Source organism: Homo sapiens, chromosome 1, assembly GCF_000001405.40.
Source record: "Homo sapiens chromosome 1, GRCh38.p14 Primary Assembly".
NCBI classification, from domain to species: domain Eukaryota; kingdom Metazoa; phylum Chordata; class Mammalia; order Primates; family Hominidae; genus Homo; species Homo sapiens.
In genome coordinates this window covers 29571331-29584526 of record NC_000001.11, presented here as the reverse complement: position 1 = coordinate 29584526, position 13196 = coordinate 29571331, and the positions used below count along the sequence as shown (strand labels likewise).

General features: G+C 47.9%; 1 annotated feature.

Annotated features, from left to right (window-relative positions):
• Positions 3534 to 3730: a silencer, noted in NCBI's record as "fragment chr1:30053644-30053840 (GRCh37/hg19 assembly coordinates)". NCBI's record gives its function as "represses an EF-1alpha promoter that drives an FKBP-Casp9 reporter gene in an ReSE screen in HepG2 liver carcinoma cells {active_cell/tissue: HepG2}" and the evidence as "EXISTENCE:reporter gene assay evidence [ECO:0000049][PMID:32094911]".

Sequence of the window (13196 nt, the reverse complement as noted above, 5' to 3'; positions counted from 1 at the left end):
AGGAAAGTGAGAGTATGGACAGGAAGCTCTCGCATGATAACAGTGACAGCAATTACAGTGATAGGGCAGGGGGCCCGTCTTGGTCATTTGTGGGGTTCACCATTGTCATCCCAGCACCCAGCACCCAGTGGGGACTCATAGATATTCACTAACATAAATGAAAAAGATACTCAACAATGATGACTGTTACTGTTAATCAAGGAGTCACATAATCTCAAGAGAAAGAAGATGCTCAATGTCCCAGACACATCTGATCGATGAACTAGAGTTCAGTGACTCCTGGCCCAAGGGCCACAGATGACCCAAAGGCTAATTTTCTTTGGTGCCTTGCCAGTGGATTTTCCCAGGTCTCTCTCTCCATGGGCATTTAGAGCCACTGCCATCCATGAGTGATGCCAGCCAGCACCCACTACCCTCCCTCCCAGGAACAGGCTTCCAGGTCATGCTGATTCAATGCCTTCCCCTGTCCAAACCAGAAGCAGAAGGAGGTTCAGCACCCATTGTGTACCCACCCTGCTTGCTCAATGACCAAAATTCCCTCCAGACAAGTCCAGCCCTGTTTCCACTGCGTTCAGAGTTGTTGGAAGAAGTCGGGGAGCTTGCTGTGGAATGACGGGGTTGTTTACAGGCAGACACAGTTGATTGCAAACCTCACTTCTGCTTTGGTGACTGAACAGCAATGATGCTGCATTAACTGAGCTGCGCTGTGTGCTGGCCGCTGTGCACACATCATTCCACTGACTCTTCACAACAGCTCTGGGAGTAATCCCCATTGTAAGCTCCCTTTTAAAGATGAGGAAATTGAGGCTAAAATGAGCCTATGCAAGGCTCCTGTTTGCACCAAAGCCAGTGATCCTGACAGGAGCTGGTCACCTGTCAAAGGCCCTCTGTGCCACCTCTAGTTTCAGCCTCATCCTACCTCACCTACCCCTAGATCTCTGCTGCTCCAGTTGGTGGTATCCCAGGCACAGCACCTCTTTGAACCATGAGCCAATCTTCCTAAACATCAACATCACTCAACGATTTGGTAGGAGGGTTTTTTTTTTAATCCAAGCAAATATTATGGAACGGAATAAGAATTAACATGACTTTTTTCTAAGATAAATGATCGGTCCTTAAAATGTTCTGTGCTGTGCTAGCTTGTTTCTGCCCATGCCCTCAGATGCCCAGAGAGCATTCACTACCTCCTTCCCTAGGCGGGCTTTGTAGGAAATGTTGCAGGAGCATTGCCCTTAAACCTAACCAGAATCGCTGGGCATGGTGCCACACGCCTGTAATCCCAGCACTTTGGGAGGCCGAGGCAGGTGGATCACGAGGTCAGGAGATCGAGACCATCCTGGCTAACACAGTGAAACCCCGTCTCTACTAAAAATACTAGAAATAACAGCTGTTATTATTACCAGTTAGTTGAAGATATTGATAAATACAAAAAATTAGCCAGGCATGGTGTCAGGTGCCTGTAGTCCCAGCTACTCTGGAGGCTGAGGCAGGAGAATGGTGTGAACCCGGGAGGCGGAGCTTGCAGTGAGCCGAGATCACGCCACTGCACTCCAGCCTGGGCAATAGAGCAAGACACCAACTCAAAAAAAAAAAAAAACCTAACCAGATTCTTAAATATCACCCAAGCCTAACTCTAACCTCTAGAGGTCAACTTGATCATAAGAGGTGTGAGCCATGAGAACATCTAGGGAGGACATCCTAGACAGCAGAGTGACAGGTGCTAGGGAGGTGAGGCCAGAAAGGTCACAGGGTCTTGGGGACCAGTGAAGGACTCTGGCTTTAACCTGGAGAAGATGGGAGCCATGGAGGGTGTGAGCAAGGAAGGAAGTGGTTGCATGGGCATTCTAAAAGGCTCCCTCCTGCTGCTCAGTAGAGAGGAGACCACAGCGGGTGAGAGTGGAATCAGGCAGATGGTTGGGCAGCCCCTGCAACCATCCAGGCAGTGGATAGATCAAATCAGAGCAGGAGCTAAGACAAACATGTATTTTCCAGGGTTGTGGTGAGGGTCGTAGATAATGAATAATAGTTAGACAAACAAAAAAGCATCTAGCACTGTGCCTGGCACACAATAGGCCCTGTAGAAATAACAGCTGTTATTATTATCAGTTAGTTGAAGGTATTGATAACTCTGAAGCCAAATCCTGAAGCTACCTGGCCTCATTTCTCTGAGTTCAGTAGCTCCATCCAGACTCTCAGAGGGAATTGCAAAGAAAAACAAAAACAAACCTCAGGCTGCAAAGAGAAATTGCCAGTGGTGCAGCGCAGGGGGAGAGTCTTCACAAGGTCTTCACAGCAGTGGAGAAAGGCTTAGTTAAGTGATAAAACACTCACATTTCACAGGTTCCACATGTACCTGAGTGACAGCTATCTGGAGTTTTGTTTGTTTGTTTGTTTGTTTTTGAGACGGAGTTTCTCTCTTGTTGCCCAGGCTGGAGTGCAATGTCGCTATCTCGACTCACCACAACCTCCGCCTCCCGGATTCAAGCGATTGTTTTACCTCAGCCTCCCAAATAGCTGGGATTACAGGCATGCACCACCACACCAGGCTAATTTTTTGTATTTTTAGTAGAGACGGGGTTTCTCCATGTTGGTCAGGCTGGTCTCGAATTCCAGACTTCAGGTGATCCACCCACCTCGGCCTCCCAAAGTCCTGGGATTACAGGCATGAGCCACCGTGCCTGGCCTATCTGGATTATTTTTAAGAGGAAGGTAGCCTTTAAAGATGATTTGCTCTTGGTTTAAAAATTAAATAAATGTTGGGAGACATGCGCGCGCACGCGTGCGCGCGCGCGCACACACACACACACACACACACACACACTTGAATTTTCCCAAATCAAACCCTTTCTTCTGTAATCAACTTTTTCAATGGGATTTTTAAACTAGATGTAATAGCAAACAATATTCACACAGGCAGCAGATCAAGCGCACCTTATTTGGAATGAAACTGACAGCCACTTAGATCAGAAAACGTAGCTACTGTTGGGATCTAAAGAGAAGATACAGCTCCAGGACAAATTAGCCTCCAGCTTTTCAAAGACTGACTTCACACTTGTTGGGCTTTGCTCTTGTTGCAAGTATCAGCCAGGAAATTCCTAGACAAGGTTGGACATCTTCCTGGAGTGTAGAGAGTAGGCGCCACATCAAAGTGAGGATATTCATCCTTCTGGGGCTGGAGCTCCTGTGTGGAGCTAGGAGCTGAACTGCAGCTGGCTGCGTGATCTTGAGGCCATTACTTTCTCTCTTTGTGCCTCAGTTTCCCCAATGTGTAAAATGAGGGGCTAGCTGGTCTCTGATGATTCTTCTAATATAAAATTATAATAAGTGAAATTAAAACTAGGATGAAAGAAGGCAAATGAGCACAGCGTGGGAAGGAGGAGGGAAGGATAACAAGAGTGAGAGGAAACATCATCTGAGGTGAGAACGCCGTGACTGCCCCAGATGAATGAGGCCGCAGAGTTGCTTAGACACCATCACCTCCATCGTCTCAGTCCTCATAGTCCCAGGAGGTGAATTATCTCCATTTCACAAATGTGACAGCTGAGACTCTGAGAGGGGGCAGGACCTGCCCAAGGTCACACTGTGAGTCAGAGAAAGAAAACAGCACGAGAGGGGGTTTCTGCTGGCGACAGCCTCCAGGGAGGGTCCGGAGGTGAAGCCAGATCTACCAGCGCTAACTCCAGGGCCCTTTCCCCCAGTCTCTGCATTTCCCACAGCCTGCTGGGCATCTCCTGGACACACTGCCAGTGCCACCAAGATTGGTGCTAGCATCTTCCATCACACAGCTGGGCGTGGAGCAACTGGAATTTGAGCCCAGGACCAATCAACTCTAAAGTTCTTGCACCTTCTGTCCCATGACATTATCCCTCCAGTAAATCACATGCCAAGGTCTAGCATTCTCTCTACATGAAGTTTTCTGTCCCTCTCTTCCTTTTAGACTCAACTGCCCACCTTTGAAGCATAGGAAGATAAGCCCAGGCTCTATCTCCACACTGGTCTATGAACGCCGCAAGGGCAGGACCCATACTTGGTTTAACAAAGACCCCCAGTGCTCAGTAGAGCACCTGATCCGTGGACCCCCAGAAGGCTGGTCAGGATGCAAGGGGGTCCCTTCCAGCAAGGAAGGCCCCAGTGTGGGGAAGGCAGCCAGGCAACACCAGGCCCAGATGATGCCACCCAGAGTGGCTTGAGAATGTGTCTCCAGGACCAGGCCTGGAAGGAGCCAACAGCAGGACCCAGGCGCAGAGAGTCCTGCACCAAAGACCCAGGGAAGGACAAAGACTGGGAGGGCAAACTGAGCAGCAGGGCCAGGAGACCTGAGGCAGCCCAAGGATGAGGTAAGGTCATGGGAGGGCAGGTTGCTCAGGGACAAGTCGGTGGGCAAAGCCTCATACACTGCTGGTGGGAGTCTAAATTGGAGGCACCACTTTGCACAACTGTTCGGCAGTCTCTCTTGATGCTGAACCTGTGTGTAATTGATGACTCAGAAATTCCACTCGTATCTGCCCAGCAGAAATTCACCCATATGTTCACCAAAAAGCACTTGCAAGAACTTCATAGCAGCCCTGTTCCTAACAGCCCTAAACTGGAAAGTACTCAGATCTCATCTAGAGTTAGATGGGTAAACAAATAGCTGCATATTCATACAACATACAAACATCACACATCAATAAGAATCAACAGTGTCCAACTTAACACGCTGACCTGGATAAAACATACACATGATGTTGAGCAAAGTGGAAATGAGACACATAGGAGCACCGGACAGTGTGAGTGCATTTGCATGAAGTTCTGGAACAGGCACAGATGATACGCAGGGTTAGAAGGCAGGGCGCTTCTCACCTGTCCTGACCTAGAGGAAGAGTGACAAGCAGGGGTGTGAGGGGACTCCTGGAGTCCTGGTAACATTCTCTTTCTCGATCTGCACTGGTCCCATAGGTGTATTTAGTTTCAGAGAGTTCTTTAGCCATACGCTTACCATTTGTGTACTCTCTTCTGTGTAAGTCTCACATTTCATTAGGCTACACTAAGAGGTTTGCTTTAAAAAAAAAAAAAGATAAGCCCCAGGGCCCTTTTTAGTGAAATGCCCAGAATATGCCAGTGGGCCTGGCTGCACTCACACCTGACAGACACACCCAACACACTGTATATGATCAAATCATTCATTGTTGAATGATGAACGAATGAACAAATTGACAACTGCATGAAGCATTGAATAAATGAATGGACCGAGGAACCATGAATCCATGAATGAATGCAGTGACAAAATGAAAGAACAATCAATGGAAGCAGAAACAAATAAACCAAGGTGTGCATCAAGGAATACATTCACGCATGATGGCTGTATGAGTAAAATGAATGAAAGAAAAAATGAACAAATGAAAAATACCAAAGAGCCAAATGAATGGGTATAAAAAAACAATAAGCGAAAGAGTAATTGTGCAAATGCCTAAGGCCTACGTGGACAAATGTTTCAATGTGTTCTTGCTGGACATGAGGCAGTGTCATTCGTGGAGCAGAAAACTCCCACTTTGGAGGAAAGCGTCTCCACTCAGACATCTGGGACCCAGGTCTTAGCCAATCAGCATGTTTTCCTCCCACCGAAGGTTCCTAAAGTGACTTCAATTCAGATGTAATAAGAGTATGCTTGAGCAAATATCACACTGAGTATGCCAGGCCCCTCCAATCCTTTCCCCACCCCAGCAGTCACACTGAGCTTTCTTTTTTTTTTTGAGTATGCTGAGTATGCTCCCCAGGATTAACTCTGTGTTCTGTGGAAAGAGCTAAACGGAATTGACTGCGTTGTTTTCCCAATTATGTTACAGATAATTACCTATTATGTAGCAAAACCCCAGGATGATTTTAGTAATCACTATTTAAACAACACATTTTTACTGTCTCCTTACAAATTAACCTCCAGGAAGTGTAATTAATGTCAGTATGAGAAAGTTGGCAGCGTGGCCCAGGAATGAGGATGGGTTGAGGCTGTGGCTGCGATCGTCCTGTGAGACCCCGAGGCCGAGTGTTGCTGACTGAGGCCAATGATCGGGTTGAGAACTCGGAAAACCTGGGTCCAGAAGATCAGACAAGTATTTCCCCATCTGAGCCTTGGTCACTTTCCCTGTTAAACGAGGATGATTCCCTAAATCCCCAAACTCACTAGGACATTAGGAGATCTGACTGCAGGCCTGGAACAGAGTCAGCGTTAGTCACACAGACACCCCCACCATGTCCCCACCGCAAGGGCACATCCTTCATTGTGGGGTGGCAACGGGGTCTTTTCTTGACGTGTGCCCCCTCCCCAAACTGAGGGTAGGGACCGAGTCTCGCTTCTCGGTGCATCACAGCACCGGCATGGGGCCTGGCACGTAATAGGTGCTCAGTAGGCATTGGTTGGAAGAACAAATTAACCCTATCACATACTGTGTGTTTTGTAAACTGCCTTTATAAACACAATATGGTTTGAAAGACACATGGCCACTCACCAAATGCTCCTCCGTCTGCTCGTGGTTGTCCAGATCCTGCCTCACTCCCGGCCCATCCGTCCACCCAGTTTACTCCCTCGGTATCTGCCTCACTCGGCCCCTCTCCCACTTCTGTCTGATGCCTCTAGCAGCTGTGAGCCTAGAGAGGTGAGAAAAGCCGTTTGGACTGTGATAAAGTACCTATCGCCAGGCTCTGAATGAGGGGCCAGGAGCTTTGCTCTGAGGAAATAAGATGTGCCTGAGTGTCCACACTGACCCCAACAGGGGGCCAGCTTTGACAAGAGTTCAGCTTGCGGAGTGATCTCAGAGCCCAACTCTTCCACTCCAGGGACAACAGGGACCCAGTCCCACAGAGGCTGCCCGCAGAACGCAGGTCCCTTGATCACAGACTGGATGCATCCCTGCTGTCCATCCCGCAGGGGGAACGCCATGCATCCAGCCTGCCTTTATGACCTGGGGGTTTCTGCTGCTTCCAGAAGAGAGGGAGAGCTGGAGAAGCGCAGCCCCAGAGGGAGGCGGGACTCCCCTTCTCAAGTTTGCCACATTCTTCAAATTGTCCCTGATCATCACAAATTGCTCTTAGAAGAAGAATTTCCAGAAAGGAAAGAGAAATAGAAGTGGCTCCTATGAAATGAGATCAAACTCCTTGTACGCAATTAAACACGGGCATTTAAAGCCCTTTTCACACTGTTAGATTCTTCTTTTAAGTGGTTGGCAGTTTCGGCTATTGGTTTCTCAGATGTCTGTCTGAGAGTCTAACCTGCATAGGCTAGGAAACACATGCCCACCCTATTCTCAATGTCACAGGGTCCCTTTCCAGGACAAAGTCCAGAGAGGGATACAGAGATGATTAAGGGGGAAAAGCCAATTAGCCCCGTAGAGGGAAGGAATAAAGGTGGTATAATGATATTATTTATTATCTGAACTAATTAATAAGTGTCACAGCAAATATTAATTGAGACATTTCTATGTACGAGGCACTGCTCTGTGCGTTAATTTATTTAGTCTTCATAACAAACCTGTGAGGCAAGTATCATTTTTATCCCCATTTTACAGATGAGAAAACTGAGACACAGAGGAGTTGAATGGATTAAAGGAAGGGGAAGTGGCAGCGTGTGTGCCCAGACTTGAGAGTCAGGCAAGTCAGAGTTCACCTCTCTCTCCATTTGGTCCCTCACCAGCTGTGTGGCCTTGAACGGGTGAGTGCATGTCTCTAAGCCTCCATTTTCTCCTCTGTAAAATGAGGAATAGGATATGACACCTGCAGGACCTGTGGTATGGTAGGGGCTGGAGAGATGAGACACCCATCTCCTTCCCTGAGTTGGAGTCAATGCTGGTGCCCTGCCAGTTGGCTGCGGGCACATTCAGGCCCGAGCATGCCCAGAGGAGGAAGCTGGTCCCTTAGCAAGAGGTAGACTAGCTGATCCACCTGCTAAGGACTGCACTTGGTCTGTGAGACACACAGAAGGCACAGAGACCTATAATCCCAGCGTTCTTTCCAGAGCCTACGTCCAGTCCCAGCAGGGAGCGGTGGACACTCAGCACCTATTCTGAAAATCTTTTTAGCGGGAGAGCTGAGTGCCACAGTCAAGCATAGAGTCTTGGATAAACACCTATGGAGCAGAGTGGCCGGATCATGGTAGATGCATGTTAACTTTAAAAAAAAAAAAATGCCAGACTGTTTTCTGCAGTCTAACATTTTATATTCCCACCAGCAATGTATGAGGAGTTAGTTCTTCCACATTCTCACCAATACTTGTTATTTTCAGTCTTTTTAATTTTAGCCAGTCTGGTGGGTGTAGAATGGCATCTCATTGTAGCTTTAATTTGCATTTATTTGATGACTAATGATGTTGAGCATGTTCTCTTGATTTATTGGCCATTCATATATCTTCTTCTTTGATTACTTTTTAATGAAAAACACACTTGCATTCAAACTGAATTATATTGTCAACAGTTAATTATCACTTGTCAAACAAGTGTGTACCCAGATTGTGGGTTTAATTTTCATGTAGGTTTGCAAATGCCTCATTCCTCTTATTTGACAAGGCCTCTCTGAGCAAAATACATTCATTGTTGGAAATGATGCTTTTTTTTTAAGGAGTTTTAAAAATAAATAGGTTTGCCTGGTGTCTGAGTCAGGGCTCTTTGCAAGTAACAGAAAAACCATTCATTCTAGCTTAGGCAAAGAAAAATTGTGTGTGGAGGGGTATTGTACTAGGCTGGAGGAGGGCAGGGAAGAGGGGAAGTTTCTAATGGAACTTACAGAAGACCAGCCTACCGGAGCCTGGAACCAGGGCCTGGAATGCCAGCTGGGACCCCAGACAGCCACTCACCTGCCCACCCCACCCTGCAGCTCATCTCCACTTCTCTCCATGCACCTGTTTTATTCTCTCTACAGCGTGTTTTTCCTGCCTCTCCGCTCTCATCGGAATGACGCTTCCTCCTCCCTTGAAATCACACATCCTTAGGTCAAGGGCAGCAGAAAATTACCTAATAGGTGGGTCATATCCTTGTTTGGCTGCTGACTCTCTGGTGCCCTGGCAAATCCTTAGCCTGACAAATCTGTACCCGTCACCAGGGCCAAGTCCTGCCTGGCACAGTTGTGCACTTGCTGCATATTGTCACATGCGTAGAGCACTTTACTCTTGGCCAAGGAGCCAGAGAGGGCAGTATCTGTGCCTGTTAGCTCAGGGCAGTCAGGGGAAGAGCAGGAGTGGGGACTCAGGGCAGGGGACTCCTCAGGGCTGAGAGAGCAGAATGCATTCCTGACTCCTGAGAGGGTGGGAATGGCAGCACTGTCCAGGTACTCAGATCCACCCCATGGGTGGGAGGGAGGGTGCTGACACTCACAGCCCCCCACTCCCCTCTGCCTGACAGGCTCACCTCTCCTGCAGATCAGGCTTCAAAATCTACCTCTGTCTCTGACCTTGGCCAAGTGGACATGTGTCTGCCTGTAATGTGAATTCATGCACATGCATTCCAGTGTGCATGTGTGTGCACGCAATGTTTGTCATTGTGTCTGCATGTGCATGGGGGATGTTTATGTGGATCTATGTGTGTGTTTTGTGTGTCTGTGTAAATCTGTGTGTGGCTGCATGTGTCTGTGTACGCACTGCATATATCTACACACCTATGTGCACATTCAGAGGGTTCTAGGTGGAGGCCCAGGGGTTCTTCAAAGCTCAGTACCCAGCAGAACCCTGACTCCAGGCCCTGGGCCCCCAGTGCAGGACTCTCTCCACTGTCCATGCTGCCTCCACTACTATGACTAAGGAAGACTCTCCACCCACAGCCTCAACCCCACCCAGACCACCTTTCTCTCCATCTCCAGCTGCAGTAGACATAAATGCTGCTCTAATTTCTCCTCACTTTCAGTAATTTACAAAACGGTTTCATTGGTTCCACAGTCAGCACTGCTGCGTTTCTCTTGGAGGATCTTTATGAAGATGATGTGGCAAACAGTGTTGTCTTGTTGTTAAGCAAAAAAGTGGTAAAAAAGACTAAAGCATTGTGGGGGTACGGGGGTGGATGGAGATAAGAAAAGTGTCCATGGAGCATGAGAGCGATTACAGGGAGATGCTGTGAACAAGTCATTTAAGCAAATTCTTCACTAGGACTTGGTTCCATCCACTTACTAATAGACCAGCCTCATCATCTCCTGTGATAGCATTTTTTTTCCCTTTTCTCCATCCAGCCCTGAGGCCTTCAGCCCCACAACCCCTGCCCAGGAAAATGGGACTGACACCAGTAGAAAACTCAGAGATCATTTAGTGTGAAGCCAGACAGGATCAGAGCTCTCCATTCAGCTGTGGGATGTGGAACTTCCATCCAGAGATGTAGGTCTTGGCCATGCAGGAGGTGGGGCCAAACTTGCCCCAAATGCCCTGGGTGGGAGACCAAGGTCAGTGACTCTGCCCACACTGACTCTTCACTGCTCACTTCCCTGCTCAGCCTCTCTTGCCCCCTAGGCACTGGCTGTTCCCACACAATCTCTCTCAGGACAGGAGACAGAGGCTTTTCTTGCTTTTATTTTCAGCCTAGCATTTTTGCACAGATAACTTTCACAACTTTCATCCTGATTTGATGGTCATCTGGGAATTTGGTGCCACCCCTTCCTCCACCCTTGAGAGGTGCCCAACTCCCTCCACATATCTCTGAGATGCCATAAGGTGCACAAAGCCACATGAGGAAGGAGAGCCTGGGCAAGACAGGGGGGTTCCACTGGCCCCGCCTCTGCTTGGCCATGTGACACCACCCACTGCCTCCCACCTGGATAAGGATGGTTCTAGCAACTGGTAACCCCGACAAGGTCTGCACTTTACCAGGCCCCTCGCAGATCCTGTTTCCTGAAGAGTGAATCGGACAGAGAGCATCATGGCCCTCATCCTACAGGGGTGGACTCAGGCTTGAGAGCCAACTGGCCCAGCTGAGTTACTGCCAGTGCATGGACAGTGAAGGTCCTGAGCCCATAGCCCAGGCGCTCCCCTCCTTGGCCAGCAGAGCTGCTGTGAGAGACCTTCCTGCTGACCCAGTGACAGTGCTGGTAAGGAGAGCAAGTGATCTGATCATTCACAACCTCCCATTTACCAGGAAGACTATTCACTCCCTAAGTCTTAGCCACGTGTAATTTCTATAAATTCATACTATTTTACCAACATCTCTTATAGGAGGCTATTCTAACAAAATAGAAATTTAGAAGGCTGAAGAATGAAAATATTTATTGCAGTGTTATGACAGTAAAAAATATAACCATCCAAATTATATACATAGGAGATTGTTAAATAAATTATAGATTACTAATCACATGGACAATTTCCAAGAATATACAATGCAATGGGAAACTGATCGGCCTGGAGTGTCAGGTAGGAAAGCCTCAGATCTGTATCTGCACATGGAAGGACACAGCTGGGTCCACCAGTATCCACTTCTTTATCTGGACCCGGAGGAGAACGGTATCTCCCGCGGCCTTCACGTCAGGGTGGCCATAAGACTTGCACTGGACAATGAAGTATGAATAGAGGCAGTGAGTGTCCCTTCCAGGTGAGAGCATTTGAGTCAGCGCTCAGCTCCCCCTGTCCTCCTTCCCTGTCACGGTGACTTTAGAAGTACATGTGGAGACGTTGACATCCTCAGACAGTGGAGCCTCCATCGGTGACAGTCCCTGCTGTCTGTGATGACCACGCCCTCCCTGCAGACCACTGAGGACATGTAGCAAGAGCAAGAAACAATCTTTGTTATTTTGGGGGGTTGCTTGTTTTTTTAATCATATCCTAGTCTATCCTGACAGCCATGCCAATGGGAAAGCAATTATGAAAATATATACTTGTATATGAAGAGACAAATAAATGAAGAAAGATATTAATCAGGAAAAACTACTATCTTTGAAAGACAAGACACAAGATGAGTTATATACTCTCTTATATAAATGCCTTCACTTGCCAAATGCTTCACAGTAAGGATGCATGGCTGTGTTAGGAGGAAACATCAATGTCATTAACAAGAACACCTGGGCCCTGGCCGAGGCCATCCTCGTTCCAGGCTGCATTTTTCTCTCCTTCATCTCAGTCTCCTGGTCCACTTAGCATCTGTCCCGCCCAATTAGCCCTTTATTACAGATCATTTTGTTCTCTAATTGTCTGCCCTGCATAATTTAGCACAGCCATATACTGTCTTATTGCCAAACGTTTAATTTAATGTCTTTTGGCCTCAGTTTCTTCATCTCAAAGCAGAGTAGTGGCTGAAAAGGAGATCTTTAGAAGCCCCTCAGTGCCAACATTCCTTTGGGGCCAGGAAGAATCAAAGCTAGCACTGGCTTGGCACTTACTGTGTGCCAGGCACTGTGCTAAGTACTTTTCATGCATTAGTTCACTTAGTTATTTCAACAACTCCATGAAGGAGGTCCTATTGTTATCCACTCCTCTCGCCTATTTTACAGATGAAGATGCTGAAGTTCAGAAAGGTTTAGAAACTTGTCCATGGCCACACAGCTCAGAAGTGGTGGAGCTAGACCTTGAACCCAGGCAGTCTGCTCCCAGGTCCCTTCTCTTCCTGCTCCGGTGAGTGTCAAGTCTTTACTATGCCCAGACCCTGTGCCAGAGGCTTGATGCAGGAAGATAAGATGGGGTGCTTGCCTGCAAACAGAGTAATAATAACAACAATAATGATGATGATGAAAGTTACAATGCCAGTTAACATGCATTGAGGGCTCTCTTAGGTCCTGGAGTCCCCACAGCATCCTATGAAGCAGAGACTCCCAGTCTCCATGTTACAGATAAGGATGCGAGGAACAGCGAGGAACAGAACAAAACTCTGTTTTGTTCAGAGTCCCACCCCCAAGTATGCCTCGAAAGTGTCGTTTGAGCCCAGGAATCTGCCTCCATCTGATGTACCTTCATGAAGTCCTCACAATAACCCTATGTGCTCAGTATTAGCTTGCCAATTTACAGAGGGAAAAACCAATGGGGCTCACAAAGGTTAAGCCACTTGCCCAAGACACACATTGAGTGAGTGCTGGAGGCTGAACCTGAACCTGAGTCTGTGGGCTCCGGGGCCCATTTTCTTCCCACTGCTCCAGTGGCGAGAAGCCTAGAGGGGCCACCTGAATGCTCTCGGGGCAGAGAAATCACCAGCTGTGACACATCAGGATAGCAACAATAACAGAATCCTCGCTGAGCTTGTTACCGGTGTTGCTACACTTAATCCACCCCA